Source organism: Homo sapiens, chromosome 3, assembly GCF_000001405.40.
Source record: "Homo sapiens chromosome 3, GRCh38.p14 Primary Assembly".
NCBI lineage: Eukaryota > Metazoa > Chordata > Mammalia > Primates > Hominidae > Homo > Homo sapiens.
The window spans coordinates 101,933,309-101,960,884 of NC_000003.12; the positions used below are offsets into that span (position 1 = coordinate 101,933,309).

Genomic DNA, 27,576 nt, shown 5'->3' on the forward strand with positions numbered 1-27,576 from the left:
TATTTGTGGAATGGATGAATGAATGAATGAATAAGTGAGAGCAACAAAAAATGACAAATATGATGAAAGAAAATCAGGTAAATGGGTTTATAAATGCTTTTTGAGAATATTCCCTCTATACAGATAATTTTATGAGCAGTTTATGGGAATTGAGCTTTGCAGAAAAAAAGAGAAGGGAAGGAAAGAAATGAGGCAGGGACAGAGAGACAGTGGTAGAGATGGAAAGACAGAGATGGGCTCAGTGGTTAGGAGAAGTAGTGGTGTAATTATTTGTTCATTCTAGCAGGCAAAAGATTTAGTCAAGCCCCAAATGGTCATGTCTTAAGTAAAAATCTATGGAACGGGCTGGGCGTGGTGGCTCATGCCTGTAATCCCAGTACTTTGGGAGGCCGAGGAAGGCGGATCACTTGAGGTCAGGAGTTCGAGACCAGCCTGGCCAACATGGTGAAACCCCATCTCCACTAAAAACACAAGAATTAGCTGGGCATGGTGGTGGGCACCTGTAATCCCAGCCACTCGGGAGGCTGAGGCAGGAGAATCACCCAAACCCGGGAGGCAGACGTTGCAGTGAGCTGAGATTATGCCACTGCACTCCAGCCTGGGCGACAGAGCGAGACTCCAGCTCAAAAAAAAAAAAAAAAAAATTCCATGGAACGATTGTATGAATGATGTTAGGGGTTTTCCTGGTCAACAATAAAGATGTGAAACAGATTTTCAAGGGACTTGTTAAGTGGGTGGTGAAGGATTTGTTGACATGCTCAATGTAGGAATTGAAAATTAATCAAAAGCCTTAGAGAACTATTAGAGGAACTGATAAGATCACCAACAGAAGACATTGCACTCTATGGGGGACTTATGGGGTTTTCAGGGGTAATTTGAATTGCGTAAAATTTTCACTTTATGGGCTAACCCACCTAGTCCTGGAGTAAGACATGACTCCATTTCAAAGGGAGAAAGAAAGATTAAGATTTGTTCTAGTTGTACACTCAAATTGGTAGGGTCTCTCATTTTAGGTTAAGGAGGAAAAAAAAATTGGTAAGGTCGAGAGAAGATGATGTTCACCGGGCCAGGAGTGGTGGTTTATGCCTGTAATCCCAGCACTTCGGGAGGCCGAGGTGGGTGGATCACCTGAGGTCAGGAGTTCGAGACCAGCCTGACCAACATGGAAAAACCCTGTCTCTACTAAAAATACAAAATTAGCCAGGCGTGGCGACACATGCCTGTAATCCCAGCTAATCGGGAGGCCGAGGCAGGAGAATCGCTTGAACCTGGGAGGTGGAGGTTGTGGAGAGCCAAGATTGTGCCACTGCGTTCCAGCCTGGGCAACAAGAGTGAAACTCCGTCTCAAAAAAAAAAAAAAAGAAAATATGATGTTCACCCTAGAAGTAGTTATGTGTCCCACCCATCTTCCCAACTGATAAGTATTTAGGAAGGACCTTGATTTTGACCAAAACCAAACTATCGGAAGTTGTGAAATCTAAGCACTTCTTTTTTTTTTTTTTTTTTTTTTTTTTTTTGAGACGGAGTCTCGCTCTGTCGCCCAGGCTGGAGTGCAGTGGCGGGATCTCGGCTCACTGCAAGCTCCGCCTCCCGGGTTCACGCCATTCTCCTGCCTCAGCCTCCCAAGTAGCTGGGACTACAGGCGCCCGCCACTACGCCCGGCTAATTTTTTGTATTTTTAGTAGAGACGGGGTTTCACCGTTTTAGCCGGGATGGTCTCGATCTCCTGACCTCGTGATCCGCCCGCCTCGGCCTCCCAAAGTGCTGGGATTACAGGCGTGAGCCACCGCGCCCGGCCGAAATCTAAGCACTTCTATCTGGCTTATCGTCACTTCTGTGTTACAGAGAATAAAGAGGTTGAGTACAGGCTGTCAATTTCCTTGCTTGCCATATAGTTGGTGATTCATTAGGATTTTCCAGTGAGCACTACATGAACTAAATTTCTTGTCTTGATGCATGTTGGTGCCACTGGAAGCCATGACGTGGTTTGCATGTGATCTGCAGCCTCAGGGCTGGCCTCTGCGAAGGTTTTAAAAATTCAGACTCACTGGTCTGTGCATTATTTACACAACCTTAGCTTGGAAGGCCTGAAGTAGAAATGTGTCTTCACAACTTTGAGAAGTGACAATAGCAGTGAAGGGAAGGAGTATGGAAGCTGAGATAATGCAAGATCACATAAAAGATTTGGTGTGTTGGAACACACAGAAATGCTTTTAAAAAATTAGCTAAAAGTTGAGGTGACGGTGAATTTGTTTCTGCATTAGTGAGATATAATTTCTCTCTCTCCTTTTGTGCTATGTGTGTGTGCTTTGATGTGTCAGGGTGGGGCTGATGAAGTCTAATGGTGCTTACTGTGTGATTGGTTCACACTAACTTGTGTTCTAACCCAGAGAAATTACTGAAGCTTTTTTTTTTTCAAGAGAAGGACGGGAAACAGACAAGCAGCTATGGCATTACCCACATGGCAGAGGAAGCTACCTTTATGGCATCTTCACAAACACTGAAATGTGTTATTGGTCTGCATCTATGCTTCACTCCAAGATTTCCTAGCTCTATTTTTTTTTTGCATTCCAAAGTGAAAAGATGTAGCCCACATGGCAGAGGAAGCTACCTTTATGGCATCTTCACAAACACTGAAATGTGTTATTGGTCTGCATCTATGCTTCACTCCAAGATTTCCTAGCTCTATTTTTTTTTTGCATTCCAAAGTGAAAAGATGTAGCCTTTTGTTAACTTACAAAATTCTATAGCTCACACAATAGAGTAAAATAGTAATTAATACAGGTTAGGCTGTGAGGCTAATCACTGTGGAAAAATTGTGATCAAATCGCTTAATTTCCTCTGTTATCTAGGTCAGTGAGGAAAATAATTTCTCCACTTTCTTTGCCCTTTGTTCCAAACTGTTTTTAGTGACTGTGGAGAGTTGCAGGTTTTATCATTATAGTAAAAAGAGGAGCCATTCTGACAATTATCAGCTAAATTAAAATGAATGGTTAAAAACAGTTCAGCCCGAGAAATACATAATGCAGCTTAATGATAGAAAAGACCCAGCCAGGCTGGGCACGGTGGCTCACGCCTGTAATCCCAGCACTTTGGGAGGCCGAGTCGGGTGCATCACCTGAGGTCGGGAGTTTGAGACCAGCCTGACCAACACGGAAAAACCCTGTCTCTACTAAAAATACAAAATTAGCTGGGCGTGGTGGCACTTGCCTGTAATCCCATCTACTCAGGAGGCTGAGGCAGGAAAATTGCTTGAACCCAGGAGGTGGAGGTTGCGGTGAGCCAAGATCGTGTCATTGCACTCCAGCCTGGGCAACAAGAGCAAAACTCTGTCTCAAAAAAAAAAAAAAAAAAAAAGAAAGAAAGAAAAAGACCCAGCCAGTCTTTCAACCACTGGGATTGAAATTTCATGGTCTCTGAGGATGACTCACTTCTTAGCTGTGTCATGAGTTTCATTTTGAAATGAAATACACTGTGTGGTTTCATTTGAGGCTTCATGTTGATGCAAAAAGGAAATGAGTCCATATTGGGAAGTTAGGTTGAAATACATATATTAATGATGAAAAAGTGTCAGGCTGTCGTTCAGCCATCCTTACTACTTCTGTTCCGGCATTACCAGGCTCTTCTGTAATTGTATAACACCTGTTTGTCTCCCCTACTTGTCTGAGAACTCAGAAGGCAGGAACTGGGTGAGGCAAGTAGAAGACACTCAATGAACAGCTGTTGAGTGAACCAGGGAACATCATCTCTAAGGGGAAGGAATCAGGGAATTTTCAGCTCCAATCTTCCTGTGTAATTGTTGATGAGAAAAATCTATATTCATCTTCACTGCATTTACACAGTTGACAAGAACGGTCTTATTTATAGAAGCCACTTTATGGTGTTATTTTTCACGATATAGTTACATTCTCAAACTTGCATGTTCTCTTGAAACCAATGAGAGGGGTGGTGAGCATAGGAAGTGTAGTGGAAACAAAGTAGATGTGATGAAAAATGGCGCAAGATTCTGGGTTGATTTTACTCTTATTTCAATTTACATTTACATTTTTTGAGTATGTACAATATTCTAGACTGTTTCAAGGATACTAGACTTTGTATCTGATTTCAAAGAATTTATACTGTCATGGTGAGGAGGGGGACAGAAAGGAGACTTCTTAAGTAACCAAAGAAATTAGAGAACAAGAAAAAACTGTATGTAACAAAATATCCAACTGAATTGTGAGGTGGTACAGCTTAGTCTTTAGAGGCACAGGCTTTTAAATCAGACTAGGACTGGTACTGGTTCTACCATTACTAGCTCTGAGATCCTGGAGAAGTTATGTGACCTAATCTTATTTATTTATTTGCAAAGTGGGAATGACAATAATTATATTTACACTATAAGGTTATGAGATTAAATAATATTCATGTACACTGTATATCCCACAAGGAGTATCAGATCAATGAATGATAATGATAATTATATAATAATTATAATCTTAGTGATTAAAGGTGACAATGGAAAGGACTAGGAAAACAGCTCCAGTAACTGAGGCTATTTTAAAATTTCTGTTTCTAATCCACATGAAATAGAATGTTTTGCTAAAAGATGGTATTGGTTACTTGTAGACAAATTAAAATCATATAATCGATAGGCTTTGATAAAAAACATTGAGAACAGTGCTTGCTTTGGCAAACATTACTAAGTGAACATCTTGAACTTTCTTCTCAAAAGAACACAGTTAAGAGTCCAGAGAGTTGCTTTATTTCTGACAACCAAAAGGGCTATCTTCCTTGTCCAAATTATAACCATGCAGTCCAAGGGAAATACGTGTACTTTTAGAGAACAACAGCTTTGATTCTGGGAAAGGAAATACATGCTATAGAGAGTAGCCCTGAGAAATTGTTGAAGTTTGATAATGTTGCAAAACTGAATTTCTATTTGTGACCAACATAAACATTTTTCTTCCCTTTAGAATATGAGCTCCAGTCTTTTGGAGAAAATCTTTTTCTCTTCCTGATATTGGCTATTCATTTTATGTTTTACTGAGAATGAGGACAGTCCACGTGAATTCTCTCAATATCTCTTGAAGGGTTACCCTCTTTTCCTTTTTTCTACCTCAGCACAAGGTAACTTGCTTTTTTCCTTGCCAAGAACACTGCTCTTAATTCTATTACTGCTCACCTCCTCTCAGTTTTGCTCCATCCTTTAAGCCCTATCTTTCTTCCATCTTCAATCTCCAATCTCTCCTCCTCTGCCACAAATATGGCCAGCCCTCTGTATCCTAAAATAACCCCCCTCTGACCCTGCTGCTGTAGCAGGTTACTGCCTTATCTTTCTTCCGTTTATTACCACACTTCTTCTAAAAGAATACAAATTCTGCTTTCACTTCCTGCTTATACATTCACTTCTTAACCCCTTGTAATATGGTTTCTACCTTTACCCCTCTATGAAACCACCTTCTGGAAAATCACTGAGAGTTTAGTTTCATATCCAACAAATCTAATGGACTTGTCTCAGTCCTCATTCTCCCTGTTGTCTCTGCAGAAATTTCAGTTTGTTGAATGTTCTCCTTCTATAGCCTCTGTGATACCATAGCCTGCTGGTTCTTTTATCTTTCTGGAAACTTCTCTTCCACCTCCTTCACTAGCTGCTTTTTCTTTCTACTGCTCCATAAATAAAATAAAATCTTCTCCACATTCTTTGCCTCATGTGACTTCTTATCTACTCACATTGCTTTACACATGAATTTCTTCAATCTTTTTTCCCTTCATCTCAAAATCTTTCTCCTGATGATTCTAAAATCTAGCAATTTCCAATTGCTGTTAAGACTTTCTTACTTAGGTAACCAGCCAGGATTTTAAACTCAGTGTATCTAAAATGAAGCCCATTAACTTATGTTCATCAAACTCCAAACTCCAACTGATTGTCTCTATTTTGTTTTTATAAATGACACCACTATTAATGAATCATCTTTCACAACTCACAAGTAATTTTTTATTCGTCCTTACTTCTCACACCCTGTGCCTACTAAATTATGGAGTAAGGAAGATTCTATAGGCTTTGTGGTACACAGGGTGGGAAGAGCATCTATTTTGCTGTCAGATAAGTCTGAGTTCAGATCATGGTTTTGCTACTTACTACCCTTTTGGTCTTGAGCCAGTTAGTTAAGCTCACCAGAGTCTTGATATCCTTATGTATAAAGCAGGGAATATAACATTCCCTACCTAGCCAATTGAGAGGATTGGATGAGAGCTGCACATTTTATGTGGAGTCCTAAATAAATACTGATCTCATTCTTTTCCCTAATCGTGGTTATGCCTCTCATACTCACTTTTCTTTTCCATTAAATGGAATAATATGCATCAAGGACCTCATGCAGTTCCTGAAATGCAGATGCTCATTCCACGTTTTTTTTCTCCTTTCTTCCTTCCGTTGTGGCCTGCTCAGTTCAGGACTGTGTTGCTTCTTGTCTGGACAATTGTTGCGGCTCCCGACATGGCTCTTGCTCCTGCTTCAGACATTTGGATTCACCGCATTCACTGCTGGTTGGTTTTTCTTCCTCATGTGTGCTCTGATTAGGACACCCTTCTGCTCAGAAGACTTCACTTATTCATCATTTCCAAGAAAATGAAGTAGGAAAACATGTGGACCAAGTTATCTTAGAGACATATGTGCCATGACTTTCTTACATGTGAGGTCTATTTTGGCCAAGTGGTACCATTCACTGTTCCTTCAACATGTCCTTACTTTTCTATTCTATTAACTTTCCTCCTGGGTCTAGGATTGACAACGATGCAGTCTCAATCTTTGAAATCTATTTCTACCATGATGCTTTCCCTGATTCTTTAAACATATGGGATTTCTCTCTGCTTTGGCCCCCAAAAGACTTTGCACCTCTCATGTTCACCTTAGTTCTCATTTTAGTGGTTATTTATTTACTTGTTCACACTTACCCATTCCTCCCTTCATGATACAATAAGGTTTTGAGCCTGTGTCTAATTAATATATCTATATTTTTAAGTAGCTAGTCTTGCAGGCCCTGAAAACCTTTTGGTTCAATTAAAATAGTTTAACTTTGATATACAGACCTATGCTTGAAAGTGAAAGTCTTATAGACAACAGAACCACTGTTTATGAGAAGAGAAAGAGAAAAGATAAGAGGAATAATAAGAAAAAAGGGCAGCTTCCTTGGGTTATGAGGTAATTATTGGAATTCGGTCAGAAAAGTAAGAAATAGAAATAAGTACGTGTCCCAAGAGAAGCAGCAATACCTAGGATTATGCTGACAGAGTGAGGGGGATTTAAAAGCAGTCTCCATTCTAATGCTTTTTAAATTCTCGGCATAGTGTAATGATTACTATTCCAAAACAGAAGATATGTTGGCAAACTGCCCTGTATTTGAAAATAGAGGAAATGCCCTGGAAAGAATGAGATGTGGTAAAGAGAGGAAATGACAATGTACTGAAAAGACTGGGCTGTAAGTCATCACAGCGGCGCCCTGAAACCCGATATGTCAGGCAAGCTGGTGGGATCCTGGGATCCCTCATGTAACGGCACTCATTCTGACAGAAGCAGAGATAAAACAGACTAAGTACACAGAGGAGTTTAAGGTTTCGTGAATGTAAGTGCTGAGTACAGAATGGTGCTCAATAAAAGCTTGTTAATTGATGGACCACAGGTTTGTGACAAGACTTCTCAGAGTCTGATTCTTTCAAGGTGGGATATAAGAGTAAGGTAAGCACCTCAGAAAATGCCTGGGGCAGGTCACTCAGTGTTGCTGGGACTGATGGTGTTGGCTTGGCTTGACTAGGATTTAATAATACAGATGTGCCTCAACTTATGAAGGAGTTAAGTCCCGATAAACCCATAGCAAACTTGAAATACCATGAGTTCAAAATGCATTTAATACACCTAACTGACTGAACATTATCGATTAGCCTGGCCTACCTTACTCATGCTCTGAACACTTACATTAGCCTACAGTTGGGCAAAATAATCTAACACAAAGCCTATTTTATAATAAAGTATTGAATATTACATGTACTTTATTGACTACTGCACTGAAAGTGAAAAACAGAATGATTGCATAGGTATGCAATCATTGAAGTATGGTTTCTACTGAACGCATGTTGCTTTCACACCATTGTTAAGTCGAACTAACACAAATCTTGGACGGTTTGTAGTCATATCTTACCCTTACATAAGCCACTTATTTCACAAACTTAAATCATAAGTAAGAACTTGGATATCATCCAAGAAGGCCTTTGAGTAGCCAAATTAAGTCCGATTAAAAAAGTTCTTTAAGATGAAAAATAGCAGTTTAACCCTGACCAGTCGTTTCTTCTGGTTAAGACAGCACACATCTATATGGTTGACAAAGTTTCATTTCATTATAAACTTGTCTAAAAAGAATAGTATTCAAAACACATTTTTAAGCATAACATAGAGCATTTACTGCTCCATTAGACACACTTTGAAAATCAGAAGGCAATCTCTGAGATGGTGTGGTTTTGGTGAATTCTGCTTAAGTTGCTTGGCATTCAGGTTTTGTGAGGGCTTGGGCTGTGATCGTCATCCCTCCAACAGCTTTGTGTGTCTGAGATTGAATATATACCCATAACTCAGGGAAAATTTGTTTACTCATCATTTTATCATCAAATACACCATTATAAGTTTAGCAAGCAAAGACCAAGAAAAAGGTTAAATTAATATTGATGTTTTAATTTAAATGCAAGATAAAAAAAATCTGGTTAACTTTATTCTCCTAAACAGTTGTTGATGCTTTTTGAACTCTAAAAATGAATTATTTGAAATGATGCCTTTAAAGCTTTCCTTTCTCTATTTCACTTTAGTTTCTACAAGTATATAGGCTTCTCTTTCTAAGAAGATTCAGAAATTATCTTTGAGGAAAACTTCAAGAAATTTCTTTTTGGCCTCTTAAACTGGGCTTTTCATTGAATTCTGGTGCTCTTTGTTAAAATTTGCATGATTGGTTTTTAAATAATTCTGCTAGCATCGTGGTCTCATACAATTATTATTCCAGGATTAACGAGAGTCACAAAACTTTTATTAAATATCCAAAATACTAAGAAAATCACTTTCAATCAGCATGTGAGAACAGCCTATGATTGCCTTCTGCTGATTTACTGCTTGTTTGGCATGTTTGGCAGGATATTGCAATCTTGCTTTCCACTACCAGGTTCATGTGGGAAAACTTAGGAACTGCTCCATAACTGTCACATCTGTCGCCGATTTCAGATTTTTCTGAATTTCCCTCATTATCTTCTGTATTTTCACTGGTTTCAAGTTTGCTCATCAAACTTCCTGTTTTTAACCACTGATCCATGCTCCCAGTTGAAAATGTAATTTGAAACTATTCACATAAAAAAGTTAAATGCAGTATAACTTTACAACATTAAAAAAACCTCAGAATTTGGGCTTATTTTGTGTTATGGAAGAATTCACTGTGTTTAGAGAATTAAGCATAAGTATGTATTTGTAACAAAAAGTATCTGGTCTCATAAACTGCAGTGATAATTTAACTGATCTGTGGGAATTGGGTGTGTGTCCATGCAAAAGTTTAAAAAAAACTCACTGTTTTTTTTTTAAATTGTATTTTATTTTTACATTAACAGATAAAATCCCAACTTTTTTATTTTATTTATTTATTTATTTATTTATTTTAGATGTGGTCTGTCTCTGTTGCCCAGGCTGGCCTCGAACTCCTGGGCTTAAACAATCCTGCCTTTCTCCTGAGTAGCAGGGACTACAGGTGTGGCCATGGCCATGTTTTTATTAATAACTACACCATTGATCTTAATGAGACAGATGAGACAGACTCATTAAAAGAAACCCAACTGTAAAGTCTCTGTGGAATTGCCCAGAGATTATGTAACCTGATAGACTAGCACTCTTCCTGCCAGGTAGTGATATTACCATAACCTATTCTCGTAGATATGTTTTCAGGTTTTCTTACTGTAAGAGTCATGTTTATACTATATGATGTGGTCCACTGTGATTGGAGCAGAGGTGATAACTTGATTGGCCTGGATCAATCAGATACTCTTCTATAATTAGGGAATTGGAACTAAAACCTTCTAGTTTAGTCTAGTTACATTTTATGGTAGTCAGAATGCTAAGATGTCCCTAATCTCACTGTAGCTGGATATGATGCTAACCTGCAGCTACTTTAGAAAAGAAATATTGGTGGATAACACTCCTTTAATACCCTCTGAGACATGCAGAAAAATCTGCTCCTTTGCAAAATATGCACTGACTACTATGTCTTTTTGGGTTCTTGTATCTACTTTTTGTGCTTTTCTGACTTGGAACTTTTAGCTCTCACTTCTTGTTGCCATTTTGGTGTTTATCCAAGAGGTGAAGAATAGTCATGAGTCTCTCCAGTTCTGCCCATTCTGGGTCCATACTTTCTATACTGGACTTTCTGAGCTTTTTAATTGAAGGTATACCACAAAGACATCTGATTATTGACAGCATACTGCATACTGATTTTCCAACCTACCTTGGCAGAGTTGGAGCCTTGCTTACTTTTAGTTCAGTTGAGATAATACTGGAATCTTCCAAAAGAAACTTTGACAAAAACTAGGGATGGAGTTTGGTGGGAGTGGAGGGGTGGGATGGTGGAAAAGCATAGAAATCAATGAATTCCTGTAGGGCAGGGTTCTGATCTGTACTTTATGTCCAGTCAAGATTCAGTTTGGCTAGGACAGCTTTAGGGCAGGTAGCCTCTTGTTCCTGGACTAACTTTAAACTTCTCTGTATTGGGCATATATATTTGAATGAGCACAAAATTTTTTCTTCTACAGAAGAAAAAAAGGTAAGTGGGATGTCATCAAAATTTAAAGTTTTGTGCTTCAAATAACATCAAGAATGTAAAAAGACAACAAATGGAATGAGAGAAAATATTTAGAAAGCATATCTCTAATAAGGAATTTGTATTCAGAATATATAAAGAACTTTTACAATTAACAATAAAAGACAAATAATTCAATTTAAAATTGGGAGATAAATTGCATAGACGTTTCTCCAAAGAGTTACGAATGGTGACTCAGGACATGAAAAGACACTTAACATTGTTAGACATTAAGGAAATGCAAATCAAAACCACTATAACACTCTCATCCATTAGGATGGCTAAAACAGAAAAAAATCAAACACCAGACAATAACAATGTGTGTCAGCATGCATGTTTTTTTTTTTTTTTTCTGGACTGCTTTTTTTTTTCTTTTTCTTTAATAACACTCTGTGTAATTGAGCCACATGAAGCATTAGTTATGTTTGGGTTTCATTGCCATAGCACTTTTCAGCTTATTATGACTTTTACCATGTATTATGTGCCTCATTGATCTTTACAACCACGTAAGGTTGGTGAAATAGTACATTATTTTCTCTTTTTTGAAGATAAAGACACTCAGGCTCAGAGATATTTTGTGACTTGGCCAAGTCATCCTATACGTGGTTAAACTAGGACTTAAATTCAGGTTTTCTTTACAATATACCATACTGCTTCCTAAATAATACTGGCTTATGTTTAATTGCAATGTTTAGATGGCTTTAAAATATTATATTCATGGATATCACTTCATTTTAAACTTCACAACCACCCTATGAGATGAGTAGGCCAAGGAATGTTATATTAATTTTACAGTTGAATATGTTGCTCAGAATAATCAAGTTTTATTTCAAGCTCTGCCACCCACTTACCTTGGACAGATTATATAATTTCTGAAATTCTAAGCTTTTTTTTATGTGTAAACTGAAGTCTCCTACTAGATGATCTCAAAGATCCCTCCTAAGCCTACTATTTTGTGATCTTATCCTTTAGTATGTCCTTCCATTAGCAGCATATGTACTTTGAGGTGATTTTCTGGCTGTGGTGAATGAGTTTCTGTAGGATGACCTGTACTTTCTTACTGGATTATTTCTGTAACCCTTATATACATCTTTAAAAAGCATGGTCAAGATCAGGGGAGCAGGCTTTAGCCATATAACAGAACAGGGCTCAAATAACGGAACAATATGGGGTTTAAATTTATGGAACCAAGGCTTTGGTTTCATTAACTTGGGCTCTGAAGTAATTAAACTACACATAGACATTCTAGAATGTCATAATTTCATTTAGTTGGATGACAACATCCTAACACATCAGAGTTAACTTCTTATGGTAAATAATGTGCCTCACATTTTTGTAACAATGAGTTTCTGCTGTACCAACACTTTGCAACCTGGCTGTAGAAAAAATATCCTTAATTTGTACGTTAGTATGAAGAGTGCATCAGAGGAGACTCTTTTTATTTCCCATTTACTTTCTGCGTTATATATCACTTGTTTTTATTTATTCACAATGATAATAAATAGATTTTAAAAGATATGTTTAAAGATAATTCTTATGTTTTCACATTTCCTAGGCATCTAAAAATAAAATAATGAACTAGATATTTAATAAATGTTTCTAGCTAAATAATTCTGTGATCTTTTCCCTTCATTGATTTTGAAGAGGTAAATTTCAGCTTTTTCCAGGATATTAGTTCAGGAAAATAGGTGGGTGTGAATGTTGCCTAACAGTTTTTGAGCCATCTGCACAATCTTTTGATAACAATCAATTAGGTTTCAGATTCTGTCAATATTTCCCCTACAACCCAAGAACCAATGATCTTATGGAAAATAAAAATTGCCCTTTTCCTTTTTAGCAGTTATCTTTGTCTCTCTCTGCCCTTTTCTCTCTCTCCTGTTGAAGAAAGCTATAAATGCACTGATAGTATTTTCAGTTCATCAACCATGTGGGAAATTATCATCCTTCTACTTTCTTAAGAACTGAAAGAAGTTCCCTCAAAGAAAAGAGCTCTCTCAGTGGTTGGCTGAGTTAAATACAGAAAGTCAAAACATATGGGAAAATATTGAAGCCTTTTCCTACAACTTCCTAGAGTTGTTCTCATGAGAAATGAGAGTCAGCTTCAGGACAACTTAATTTTGGCTGAATTTTTGCCATCTTCCCTTCCATGTCTCTATAAAGGCCACCAAGATTCAAGAGTAGTAGTATGCCTGCCTAAGATAGTTCAGAGATCAAGCTTATCAGAAGAGATAAGAGTATAAAGTTTTCTTTGAAAACTGTGAAGAACTAGTCAAATGTATAATACTAAATTTCCAACTAACTTCTTAAAACGGCAATGGCTGTTTCTGAGATGTGTTTAAAGATTAGTAGTTACACATTACTTAATAAGATAGTTAAAACCTATTTCATCATTTTTTTTTTTATATGAAGTCTTGCTCTGTCACCCAGGCTGGAGTGCAATGCAGCAATCTCAGCTCACTGCAACCTCCGCCTCCTGGGTTCAAGCGATTCTCCTGCCTCAGCCTCCCAAGTAGCTGGGATTACAGACACCCACCATCATGCCTGGCTAATTTTTTTTTGCATTTTTGTAGAGACGGGGTTTCACCATGTTGGCCAGGCTGGTCTTGAACTCCTTACCTCAGGTGATCTGCCCGCCTCAGCCTCCCACAGTGCTGGGATTACAGGTGTGAGCCACCGTGCCTGGCCTCATCAAATTATATTATGATGATTTATTCCCATTAGACCACATTCATTTCATGAAATGTATACATTCCTCTTTCCTAATAATAAGAAATAAAGTAAAAAATCCTATAATAAAAAAGTAACTTAAATATGCAAAGAGTTACATTGGTTTTTAAAAAATCTTTTAGAGGGATTATGGGCCAAAAGTTTAAAATCATGATACAAGAATATGCTGAACTAGAACAATTGAGCCTGACCATTGTTTCACAATACTATGGGGCCGTGGGAAGTTTTATAACTTAAACTTTCAAAAGATGGTTTTCTTATGGATCTCTTCCAAAAGAACATACTTCACTGAATATAGTTCCGAACTATCTTGCTTGAACTTTTTTTTTTTTTCAGAATTTACAATATTTTCGTATATATTCATTACTACTCTTTGGTATTTACTGGTTGCTTGTGTATATAAATATAGAAAACATTCTGCTAAGCACTTTCCATGTACAATCCTGTGTAATAGCAGCACAATCTGAATGAGGCTGGTACTATTACTAATTGCAAATGAGAAAACTGAGGCTCAGGAAAGTTAATTGACTTGTCCTAAGAGTGTACATAGCAAAAATGTGGTAGTGGGGTTTTTTTTTTTTTTTCTGGAGAGTCTGACTTAAGGGTTCCTGTTAACTACTTTTTTTTTTTTTATTATACTTTAAGTTTTAGGGTACATGTGCACATTGTGCAGGTTAGTTACATATGTATACATGTGCCATGCTGGTGCGCTGCACCCACTAACTCGTCATCTAGCATTAGGTGTATCTCCCGATGCTATCCCTCCCCCAACCCCACAACAGTTCCCAGAGTGTGATATTCCCCTTCCTGTGTCCATGTGATCTCATTGTTCAATTCCCACCTATGAGTGAGAATATGCGGTGTTTGGTTTTTTGTTCTTGCGATAGTTTACTGAGAATGATGATTTCCAGTTTCATCCATGTCCCTACAAAGGACATGAACTCATCATTTTTTATGGCTGCATAGTATTCCATGGTGTATATGTGCCACATTTTCTTAATCCAGTCTATCATTGTTGGACATTTGGGTTGGTTGCAAGTCTTTGCTATTGTGAATAATGCCGCAATAAACATACGTGTGCATGTGTCTTTATAGCAGCATATAGCGCCTCCGTGGTATTACTTCTGCCTAACTTCCGACTAATAGTATTTCCATTTGTAAGATAGTCTTCATATTATAGAACCATTATTTTTATCATCTTGGGACTTATGCTAACAGTTCTTATGGTGGGCCACTCTGACTTTTAGAATCATGGTTGCTACACGAACTTGAACTCATTCAAGCATGTTTGGGTATCTAATTTTGGGAAGTCCCACTAGTTTCTCATCAGTGCATTCAAACAAACTCATTCTTCATGGGATAAATATGTGAAATCTTTTGTGTAAGTAGTAACTCCATATCAGGCCCAGATAATGGCATTTTTTGAGGTATAGGCGTTTGTACTTAAGAACGGCTGTAAACCAATCAGTGTTACTGGGTCTTTATATTAATGTTAAAATTCCATACTGTCATTAAAGGGAATTTAGTGTGTGTCAGGCACAGCTAGGACCTGTTAACTATAATACTGTTAACTGTAGCACTATTTTACCTCATTCTAGTATTAGCAATACTAGAGAGGCAGCTAGTGTTATCATGAGGCTGAGTATGTTTCTATCAGCCTCCTAGGGGAAAGCAATGGATCCAAGCCTTCTTAGTTTTATTTAAATCAATATGTTGAGTGATTTATCCAATATAGCTAGGCAGAATAAATGATAGAAATTGTATTTTAGATACATAATTTTCCCAATAACTTCCCCAAGTAATTTAAAAAATATTCAAGACTTAGTGACTTGACTTTCTTGGTTAAATAGCATTGTTGACTTATTTATATATATATTCACTTCATTGGCCATATGTGTGGATTATTTACTTTTTAGATTAGATTGTGGAGGGGATACTATGGTGTGCCACCCAGGTCCTCCACTTCAATACTGAGGTACTCATTCTTTCAGCACCTTTAGAGTGTTACCTGTTGCCGATAGCTTTTACCCAAGTCCCACTCTAGGGATTGTCCTCAGCTTCCTTGCCCAAGACTATTGGTATGGTTTAGCTGTGTCCACACCCAAATCTCATCTTGAATTTTAGCTCCCACAATTCCCACCTGTTGTGGGAGGGACCCAGTGGGACGTAATTGAATCGTGTGGGCAGGTCTTTCCCGTGCTATTCTCGTGGTAGTGAATAAGTCTCATGAGATCTGATGGTTTTATAAAGGGGAGTTTCCCTACACAAGTACTCTTCTCTTGTCTGCCACCATGTGAGACATGCGTATCACCTTCAGCCATGATTGTGAGGCCTCCCCAGCCACGTGGAACTGTGAGTCCACTAAATCTCTTTCTTTTGTAAATTGCCTAGTCTCAGGTATGTCTTTATAAACAGTGTGAAAACAGATGAATACACCTATGCTCCTTGCTCAGAAGCAGCCTGCACCCATGACTATGTGATACGCAAAATGTTCCAGGCTCCTTTGCCTCCATTTGGAACAACTCTGAAGGGCTATTCCAGCCCACCCTGACATCAGCTGAGACCACTGTTGTTTCTACATAATGGTTCAGTCTCTCCTTCTGCTCAATCCTTTTTTTCTTCAGCCCCTTACAGATACTCCTGAGATCACTCTCCAATAAAATCCTCATGCAAATCCCCACCATAGTCTCTTTTCTGGGGAACATGACCTAATATAGCTAGGGAAGAGTTTTAATTCCAAAATTATTTATTCTTGCCACTCATGCAGCATTCTTCTGGTCTATCTTCCTCCTTTTGACAGTTGTATACTCTGGGAAATCATTTTTTTTTTTTAACCTGAGACAGAGTCTTGCTCTGTCACCCAGGCTGGAGTGTAGTGGTGCCACCAGGGCCCACTGCAGCCTCAACCTCCTGGACTCAACAGATCCTCCCACCTCAGCCTCGGGAGTAGCTGGGACTACAGGCCTGTGCCATAAAGCCTGGCTAATTTTTGTACTTTTTGTAGAGACAGTGTTTTGCCATGTTGCCCAGGCTGGTCTCAAACTCCTAGGTTCAAGTGATCCACCTACCTCAGCCTCCTAAAGTGTTAGGATTACAGGTCTGAGCCATCCTGCCCTGTTGAAATCAAGCTTTTGATAATTAGCCTAATTACAATGTAAGTGGGAATGCAAATGCACTAAAAATAAAATTTAAGAGAAATTTGGATTCTTGCCAATACTTCCTCAGCATTAAAAATGATTAGAGATCTTTCAATATAATAGGACATGACAGGAAAATTAAAGCCATTCACTCAATATTTTGGGTGCCTACTCTACATAAAAATCTATGAAAAATTAAAGAAAAGTAAGATATGGCTCCTGCCCTCAAGGAAAAGAAACAAATAACTAGAAAATAAATAGATAAGAGAAACATTAGTTGTTTTAATAAAGTATTGTGAGTTCTGATTAGAAAGCAATTTAGCTGGGATAATCAGAGCGGGTATCCGGAAAACTTTATATTAAGAGGGCATTGCAGGAAGGCTCAGTGTGTCTGAGGACACCTTAGTCAACTTAGCATTTTAAACCCATTAACCAACTTTTTATAAATTCCTATATGATACAATTGTCAAATCTTCTTGGCCCAATCTGAGTCAGTTGGAGATGAGCTGATTTTGCCAATGGTAGCGTCAGCTACCATTGACGTGCCTCCACACTCCCAAGTCTTTCCTTTCATAAGCCACAAGATCAAATGACCTTCTCAGTAACTTACATTTTCAGTTTGACAAAAGTATTTTCACTGGTTCCTTGTAACTCTGCATGGGAGAAATCATGAGAAAATTTAACAAGGACTTAAGTGTGTCCACTTATGTCGATGAATCATCTGCTCCTAGCCCTGAACCACTTCTTCCTGCCTTGTTGGCTCTGACTGCTTCTACTCTGTTAATAAGTGGTTTTGTCTGAGTTGTGCTGAAGAAAAAGATCTGGTGAGGGTGGAATGCGTCATGGGTAAATGAAAGTGCCAATTGAAGTGAGAACACAGAGGTGAATGGAGAGATTGAACCCATATTCCTTTAAATTTAGACCTGAACTTATCATTTCAAGATGGGGCTTCAATATTTTAAGTTGGAAACAGTTCTGAGTTAATGCTCAGGGGATCCAATAATAATCTGTCAATAAAGTAGTAATCTTGGGAGATTTTCCCTAAGTGTAATTTCTGGACTTTGTACATATGTCTTATGGTAGATATGTACCCAAAGCAGCCTAACCAAACTGACCAAACTGGTGGATTTACCAATTATGTTTTCTTTGAAGCCACACATAGAAACCTCTGAATCTATTAGTGGACTCAATTCAGCTGTTGTAATTTGTCAACTGAAGGAACATATCAAGAACCAAGACCAACTTATCTAATCCACATGCTACTTTAGCTCTTTCTTTCATTTCACCTGGGATTTTATTAAAATTGTAGTTTTGGAAACCAGGGCAGGAGCAGGGCAGGGGTAGGGGAGCGGGGCAGGGTAGGGGAGTGGGGCAGGGGTAGGGGAGTGGAGCAGGGAGAAAGGAAGAAAAACCTAGGATTGAAGATAGAGCTTCCCTTCATTGCTCAATCCCTGATATCCTGTGGCATTGGCTCCCATTCCTTGCCATTTAATTCCAGACAATAGAACCAGTCAGACCTGCAGTGCTGTATTTCAGACATTGCATCCTATGACAAACATGTCAACAGATCATAACCATGTGGCTTCTCTATTCTTTCCTGAAGCAATATTTCTTTATTATTGGAGCTTGGGAATTAAATAAAGAGAAACTTTCCAAAGAATTAAGGCATTTAAGCTGTGTGTTTTCAAAGCTTATTTTTTGTTCTATTTGGCAGCAGGAGTGCTCCAAGGATTTCTGGATAATCAGCACCATAGAAAATGATTCCTCCTTTAAAGTTTCTACTAAAGAATTTACAGTAAATTTTTACATTTTCTATTATATAGCTCCAACCATCTAAAGCAAAACTGTGGTGTATTGCTTGTGTTTAAAACATGCAGTCACTGGACTGGAAGCAAGCTTTATGGAAGGTCATATTTCTCGAATGTTTTTAAATCTCTGGGGCTATCTTTTTTAAAAGAGAAAGTTAAACACTGATATGATAATATTAAAAGTTAATTTTTATTCAGCTCCTCTTAGGTACCAGATTTCATTCTAAGGGCTTCACAAGCATTAACTCATTTAATCCTCATTAAACACATTAGTTAAATATTTTTATTATCCTCATTTTTTAGCTTAGGAAACTAAGGCCTAGAAAGAGTAAGAAGGTTGATCAAGATCTCACAGCTGGTAGGTGGGAGAGCCAGGATTTGTATCTAGGCAGGCTGCTTCTAGGACTGTGCTACATGGCGCTACATGATGGCAAGCTGCCATTTTATAGATGATAAAATTGGTATCTAAAGGCATGAAATAACGGCCAGGCGCGGTGGCTTATGCCTGTAATCCCAGCACTTTGGGAGGCCAGTGCAGGCGGATCACAAGGTCAGGAGATCAAGACCATCCTGGCCAACATGGTGAAACGCCATCTCTACTGAAAGTCCAAAAATTAGCTTGTCATGGTGGCGCATGCCTGTAGTCCCAGCTACTCGAGAGGCTGAGGCAGGAGAATCGCTTGAACCAGGGAGTCAGAGGTTGCAGTGAGCAGAGATTGCGCCACTGCACTCCAGCCTGGTGACAGAGCGAGACTGTGTCTCAAAACAACAACAACAATAACAACAACAAAAAAAACCTTAAATAACTTGCTAAGATCATATACCTGGTAAGTCGTGGAGCTGGGATTTGACCCCAAGTCCTTTGGGCCTCTTTCCAATGCCTTTGTTTTCATTTCAAGTTGACTTATAGGTAAAAGTCACAGAAACTGGAATCATACAGTCAGAAGAACAGCCGAAAGGCAGTTTGGGTTTTTCCCATTATGCTAGACAAACAAAACCCAAAAAATGTGGGCATTTATTTTCATATTTCCAAATCTAATATAAATATAGGCTCAGCAGCAGTTTTTCCCAACCAAGCGTCTACCTTTGATAAGTCCTCATTGTTCCTTCTTCCCCCTAGACCCCAACCTCCAAAAGAAGGGCTGGAGGCCAGGGAGAAATCTTGACTATAAAAGTGAACAATTAAACGTACTTGGGGCTGCACTGATGAGGAATCTCCCCCATTGCTCACCTGTCTAGCGCCAGTAGGGCATCTTTGAAGAGAGTCCCAAGTCCAGTGTTGTAGAGCTGTCTCATGGGACCTCAGGGTCAACCCGGTGGTTGTAGTCACCAACGGGCTTCAGCTTGCCCTACAGAAGCTACCTGACATCTATCTGACCCACATCTACTCAAAATCATATCACATGTTGACTTCTTGATAAACATGAAGATGACACGACATGTAAAAATACTGACAGTAAGTGAACAAAGCAGGATACCCAGTTGAAGTCCTGATCATGATGTGAAGTTCTTTTTGAATTTTATGTCTTTAAGGATTAAGTGAATTAGAGTATCTTAAGCCTCTAACAGTGTTTGGGACATAGTAGATACTAATATTCTTTTCTTTGCTTGTCTTCCATTCCCTTCCCTGTTCATGTAAATAATGATCCTGGCAACCAAGAAACATACCAGCTGATCAATTATTGAGCAAATATATTTAAAATACCCACTGTGTGCCTGTCATTCCTAGGCTTTGTGTAGAATACTAGAGTTGTTGCTGGCTAGCCAAGTCCTTAAGAAATATACTTTTAAAAATTATTTTTTAAATCATGGTAAAATTTACATAACACAGAAATGATTATTTAAATGATTTAATTGTACAGTTCAGTGGCATTAAGTACATTTACAGTGTTGTGCAACCATCACTATCCATTTCCAGAAATTTTTTATTATCACAAACAGAAACTCTGTACCCATTACATAATGTCTTCATTCTTCTCTTAGCACCTGGTAACGCTTTCTGTCTCCATGAATTTGCCTGTTCTGGGTATTTCTTATTAGTGGAATAATACAATATTTGTTTCTTTGTGTATGGCTTATTTCACTTAGCATAATGTTTTTAAAGTTTATCCATGTTGCAGCATGTATCAGAATTTCCTTTTTGTTGAGATGGGGTCTTACTCTGTCACTCAGGCTGGAGTGCAGTGACATGATCTTGGCTCACTGCAGCCTCAACTTCCCAAGCTCAGGTGATCCTCCCACCTCAGCCTCCTGAGTAGCTGGGACTACAGGCATGTGCCACCATGCCTGGCTAATTTTTTGTATTTTTGGTAGAGATGGGGTTTCACCATCTTGCCCAGGCTGCTCGAACTCCTGAGCTCAAGCGATCTGCCCGCCTCGGCCTCCCAAATTGCTGGGATTTCACTGCACCAGGCCAGAATTTCCTTCCTTTTTAAGGCTAGTATACTATTGTATGTGTTTGCCACATTTGTTTATCCATTTATCTGATGATAGACACTTAGGTTTTTTCTAACTTTTGTCTATTGTGAATAGTGCTGCTATGAATATGGGTATACAAGTATCTGAGTCCCTGCTTTCAATTTTTTTGGGCATAAACCTGCAAGTGGAATTGCTGGATCATATGGTAATTTTATTTTTAACTTTTTGAGGAAACGTCGTACATTTTCCATAGTGGCTGTGCCATTTTACTTTCCCACCAGTGACGCGCATGAGTTCCAGTTTCTACACATCCTTGCCAACACAGCTTGTATTTTAGTAAACGCACTTCTTGCAGTATTTTCCATAAAAAATCACCATCCTAATGGATGTAAAGTAATATCTCATTGTGGTTTTGACTTGCATTTCCCTAATGACTACGGATATTGACATCTTTTTATGTGCTTGTTGGCCATTTGTGTGTCTTCTTTGGAGAAATGTTTATTCAAATCCTTTGTTCCTTCCTGAATTGGATTGTTTTTATTTTCATTGCAGAGTTGTAGGAGTTCTTTATATATTCTGGATATTAATCTGTAGTCAGATATATGACTTACGAATGTTTTCTCCCATCCTGTGGGTTGTCTTTTTAATCTCTTGATAGTATGCCTTGATGCATGAAAGTTTTTAATTTTGATGGAGTCCAATTTATCTATTTCTTCTTTTGTTGTCTGTATTTTTGGTATAGTATCCAAGAAATCATCGCCAAATTCAACATCCTTCAGAAACATACTTTTTGTTTGTTTATTTTGTAAAGAAAAGTCTTGGAGCTGGTCCAAAGGGAGTAAGTTATCTACACTGTTCACAGTCAGTTACAGATCAAACTCCTTGTTCTGCTATTTCCTGGCTTCTCACTGCTGCACTTGACTAGTCTTAAAAAAAAAATTGAAAAACGTCTTGGGGGAGTAAAGGAGGAGGGCAAGGGCTGAAAAACTGAGTATTGTGCTTGGTATTTGGGTGACTGAATCAATAGTACCCCAAACCTCAGCATGACACAATATACCCAGGTAACAAATATGCACGTGTACACCCTGAATCTAAAATAAAAGTTGAAATTATTTAAAAAAAGAGAAAAATCTCAAGGGAAATAGAGAATAATTGAGGTCAATGTATAATAATTTCTAGTTGAAAGTAGTAGATAATGAATATATAGTTGTTCAGAGAAGAGGGAAAACAATCCAAGTACCTTAATAAAATCTTAACTTTACATCAGTTTACTATGAGCAAGAAGAAATAAAGTGCAAGTACGGAAGACATAGTGCTTGCCCAACTAAAGAGGAGTTCTGGGAATAAGCCAAGCACTTGGAATAAGTGACAGTTGGATAATCCAAATAAACAATTTGGATGTACATAGGATCTTGTATATATATTTATTTATTGCATAAACTTTTATCTCCCAAATCCAATTATGCTTTTAAGAATAGGCAAAAGCTTGTTGTAAGGTGATGGATTGATGGTGAATGGGAGTGAGAAGTAAAGCAATTTTTGCAAGCAAGAAAATCAGTTTTGCAATCTGGGAGGCCCCTTACTTTATACTAAAATATCTATTTGTATAGTTTTGTTCCATTGATGAGAGGAAAATATTTGCGATGACATCCATGTGTCCTGAAGTTTCTATGGCACTTACCACTTGAGATATTATGTCCTGTTGTAAAAGAAGAGACCATGATGTTTGGTTTAGAAAAGAAGGTTTCCCTATATATCTAGATTATCTATCTGTCTGTCTGTCTATCTATCTTAATGCCATGCCAATCACCTAATCAATTATCTTTCAATTCAGAGTATGAATTTGCAATTAAATTCTGGGTAGTTCCTTGAAGTGGCTCTGGGAGTGTTAAGAACTGTAAACAGAGTTGCTATCCTATTATCCAAAGCCTGACTCCAAATTCCTATTTGTTATATAATTCTTCGTTGGACTGGTGTTTAAACACACATTCCTTTGTATTTATCTTCCATTTCCTGGAGCTTAATTTTCTTCTTGGAGCAAATCGATCTTCATCTTTGGGAGGGTCCAGATCACAAAGGGTCTTGTGTGTCTGGTCAAGATGTGCAGATATTATATGTCATAGATTGGGAAGCCAGTGAGAAGACAGGATTATATTGATTTCCCTTCATATTCCCTTCATATTCCAACCTCACTGGGGAAAGGAGCCTTATGTTGGATATTATAATCCCATAAAGAAACAGGGAGAAAGGGGTTTGAGAAAGAGAAACGTAATCAATACTCACATACAAACATGTTCCTATGGGGATCTATTGTCAAAACCCTGAGATTTCTTTTGCAATGTTTACCAAGCACTCAGCCCATCAGACATTAAACACATAGGCTCATCACTCCTCTTTGATTCTGGCAGGCAGGTTTCCTAACTTCCAATTTATCTTTCCTATAGAGCAACTGGTCAGATGCTGAGTGTTGGGGATTGGGACAGGCAATTTATATTCTAAAATGGAGGCTTTAATACTTTTAATTTTCCCTTGAAAAGTTTCAAATGTACAGAACAATAGAGATAAAAAATTATTAAAATAAAATCAATAATTTAAAATAATTAAATATTTAATTTAATATTAAAATAGCAGAGAAAGGAACTTTGCGATTCCTGTCACCCATGTTCAATAATTAGTAATATTTTGCCATACTTGCTTTATTACTAAATCTACATTTTTGCTGGTCTTTTTTATTCATATTATTTTGATTGACAAATCATAATTATAACTATTTATGAGGTACAATGTGGTATTTTGATATATGTATAAAATGTGAAATGATTAAATCAAGTAAATTAACATATCCATCACCTCAATTATGTATCATTTTTTATGGTGAGACATTTGAAGTTTACTCTGTTATTTTGAAATACATATTATTGTTGACTATAGTCACCCTGCTCTGCAATAGATCTTAAAACCTATTCCTCCTGTCTGTCTGACACTTTATACCCTTTGATCAACAGCTCCCTATTGCCTCTCCCAGCCACTCTCTGGTAACCACCATTCTACTCTCTACTTGTATGAGTTCAATACTTGTTAGATTCCACACAAAAATGAGATCACATAGTATTTGTCTTTCTGTGCCTGGTTTATTTCACTTTTTGCTGAAGTATTTTAAAGCAAATTTTCTCATGACCTCATGTCATTACACCTCTACATGCTTCATTATGCACCTCTTAAAAAGAAACATTTTCTTACATAACCATAGTTATCACATCTAACAATATTAACAGTGATTCTTGGGTAACCTCTAGTATATCCAGTCTACATTTAAATGTCCCTGCTTGTCTTAAAAATATATTTGTATAGTTGATTTGTTGAGCTAGGATTCAAACAAAATCAAAAATATTTTCTAAGCATTTCATTATACTCCAGATATTAGGTTTTCTCTGACAACTTCTTTAACCCCACCTTTTCAGTTTGTATTGGAGTGCTTTTATGCAGGTCATAATTTTGGAAGCCATTTCTATCCATTTCATTAAATCAGTTACCATGTATAGTAGGCTGAATAATGGCCTCTCCCCTCTCTTCCCCATGATATCCAGGTCCTAATCCCTGGAACCTGTGACTGTTAACCTACATGGCAAGAGAGATTTTGTAGATGTGATTAAGTCAAAAATCTTGAGATGGGGAGATTATCCTGGATTATATGAGTGAACATTAAATGCACTTACATGTGTCCTTATAAGAAGGAAGTGGAGGTTGGGTGTGGTGGCTCATGCCTGTAATCCCAGCATTTTGGGAGGTTGAGGTGGGCAGATCACCTGAGGTCAGGAGTTCGAGACCAGTCTGGCCAACATGATGAAAACCCGTCTCTACTAAAAATACACAAATTAGCCTGGTGTGGTGGTGGGTGTCTGTAATCTTAGCTACTTGGGAGGCTGAGGCAGGAGAATTGCTTGAACCCGGGAGGTGGAGGTTGCAGTGAGCTGAGATCATGCCACTGTATTCCAGCCAGCGAGACTCTGTCTCAAAATAAAATAAAATAAAATAAAATAAAATAAAATAAAATAAAATAAATAAAGAGAAGGAAGTGAAGAGAGATTTAATACAGAAGACAGAAGACAGAAGGCCATGTGACAGAAGCAGAAGGAAACAGAGTCACAGAGAGAACATGCTATGCTGCTGGCTTTGAGGATGGAGGAAAGGGCCAGAGCCAAAGAATGCAGGTGGCTACTAGAAACAGGAAAAGGCAATGCAAGGGATTCTTTCCTTGAGACTTCAGGGAGCTCTACCTACATCTTAATTTCACTCCAGTGAAACTGATTTTAGAGTTCTGGACTCCAGAACTATAAGAAAATATATTTGTGCTGTTTTAAGCCACCAATCTATTAGCAGTTTGTTAGAGCAGCCATAGGAATCTAATACACCATGGGTCAAAGATGTCTATTAAGTAGGAATTCTATTCTCTGTAGAAGATAATTCAGAGACCAGAGAGCTACTGGAGAGGCAACATGCAGTTGAGGAAATGGTAATGAACTTGGAACTGGATTCTAGACTACATTCTGTCAAAGACTTTGAGCCAAGTTGACCTTTCTGATATTCATTTCCCACATATATAAAAATCAAAGGAATGGGCCAGGCACAGTAGCTCACACCTGTAAGCCCAGCTGTTTGGGAAGTTGAGGCAGGAGGATTGCTTGGGCCTAGGGGTTTGAGGCTGCAGTGAGCCATGATCATGCCAGTGCACTCCAGCCTGGGTGACAGAGTAAGACTCCGACTCAAAAACAAACAAGACAAAACACAAAAGTCAAAGGAATGGGTGGGATAAATTATCCTTGAGGGCCCTTTAAACTCCCTACTCTTTCATCAGAAAAAATCAAGTAAGATGGACAAAGCAATAGAACAATGAGGGCAGAGGAAAGCAACATAGGACACCAAATTCTTATAAAAGGCCTCAAAGCTTAAGGGAATGTGTGGAAGGACATGGGGAAGGTCGGGGGGAGAGTAACATTGCAAAGTAACCAAAACAATCTTATTACTTTATGTTGGTGTTTGTGCTGGTATGGAGTGTGTTTAAGTGGTGTGGACGGAAATGCCTCGGGTCTTACTGAGAGGCATCCTCCTTTTCTTCCCTGTTTCTTCACTATGTCACAGCATACCCACAACAGCCTGATCTGCAAATCAACAGTGTAAAGAGCTCAAATCCAGAGGCTGAAGGCTTATTGTGTTGACTTTCTCATCCTAGAGGTCACTGAATGCAGAACTTGGGAACTTCTGGACTTCCTATGCAACAGCTTGCTTAAACCTGGAAGGGACCCCTGGCTGGGAATAGTCACATTTATCAAATGGTTAATAGATCTTCTACTGGGTTAAAAGCTTTACATTCGAAATCATCCTATCTTCACAAAAAAATCTCTCTGAAGTAGTTATTGGCACCTCTGCTGTGTTAGTAAGGAAACGAAGTTCAGCAGAAGATACGATTTTACTCAAGATGACACAGCTGGCAAGTAGTCAAGTCTGAATCCTTTTCTAATATTAATTTATGGTTATAAATTTCTCTTTAAGCACAACTTTAATTACACATAATAAATTTAATGTGTCATATTTTCATTATCATTAGTTCAAAATGCTTTCTAATTTCCATTATGTTTTTTTCACTAATCTGTAGGTTATTTTGAAGTATATTTTAAACTTCCAGGTGGGTGAGATTTTCACTTATCTGTTAGTTATTAATTCTACCTTACTTGAACTGTGGTTAGAAAACATTTTTATGAATACTATTAAACTTAGAAATGTGTAAGACTTGCTTATGGCTTTCAATTTTTGTAAATATCTGTTTATACTTGAAAAGAATGTGTATTCTGAAGTTCTTAGGTGTCCTCTGTGTGTCAGTTAAATCAAATTATTTGTTGTGCTGTTCAGATCTTCAATATCTTTAGTAAGATATTGCTAAGATTCTACTAAGATGGTGGATTTGTCCATTTTCTCTTTTAGTTTGGTCATTTTTTTGCCTTATATATTTTGATGCTATGTTACTAAGGGTATATGAATTATATTTGTTATATATGTCTATGGACTGAAACTTTTATGTTTTTAAAGTATCCCTCTTGCACCCTTTTCAGTAAATGGCATGGGGAAAATCTGATTGCCACAGACAGAAGAATGAAACTGGATGCCTATTTCTCACAATACACAAAAGCGATTCAAGATTAAAGACTTAACTGTAAGACTTGAAACTGTAAAAATACTAGAAGAAAATCTAGGGAAAACTGTTCTGGACATTGGCCTAGAAAAAGAATTTCTGACTAAGACTTCAAAAGCACAGTAAACAAAAATAGACAAACGGGACTTAATGAAACTAAAACTCTTCTGCAGAGCAAAGAAAATAAGAAACAGAGTGAACAGACAACCTGCAAAATGGGAGATAGACAATGGAGACTAAGAAGAGCAAAGGAATGACAGAGAGGTGGAGGATGAGAAATTACTTAATGGGTACAAAGTACATTATTTGAGTGATGGATGCCCTAAAAGCTCTGACTTGACCATTATGCAATCTCTGCATGCAATAAAATTGCACTTGCACCCCATACATTTATATAAATTAAAAAGTAAAATATCCCTCTTTACCACTAGTAATGATTTTCC

At 38.0% G+C, this 27,576-nt stretch overlaps 1 long non-coding RNA gene across 1 annotated transcript in view, besides 2 other annotated features; it reads left to right on the plus strand.

Moving 5' to 3' along the window:
- Positions 3,609–3,728: an enhancer, noted in NCBI's record as "active region_20186". NCBI's record gives its function as "activates an Ori minimal core promoter by ATAC-STARR-seq in GM12878 lymphoblastoid cells {active_cell/tissue: GM12878}" and the evidence as "EXISTENCE:reporter gene assay evidence [ECO:0000049][PMID:35858748]".
- The window catches only part of RDUR (RIG-I dependent antiviral response regulator RNA), a 57,068-nt gene continuing 37,042 nt past the window's right edge, over positions 7,551–27,576 (plus strand). Inside the window, exons 1-2 of the long non-coding RNA NR_026934.1 lie at positions 7,551–7,717; positions 27,054–27,154. This is a non-coding gene — a long non-coding RNA (RIG-I dependent antiviral response regulator RNA). The remainder of the gene's footprint in view (positions 7,718–27,053; positions 27,155–27,576) is intronic.
- Positions 17,204–17,404: a silencer, noted in NCBI's record as "peak4754 fragment used in MPRA reporter construct". NCBI's record gives its function as "represses an SCP1 promoter by STARR-seq MPRAs in K562 erythroleukemia cells {active_cell/tissue: K562}" and the evidence as "EXISTENCE:reporter gene assay evidence [ECO:0000049][PMID:32103011]".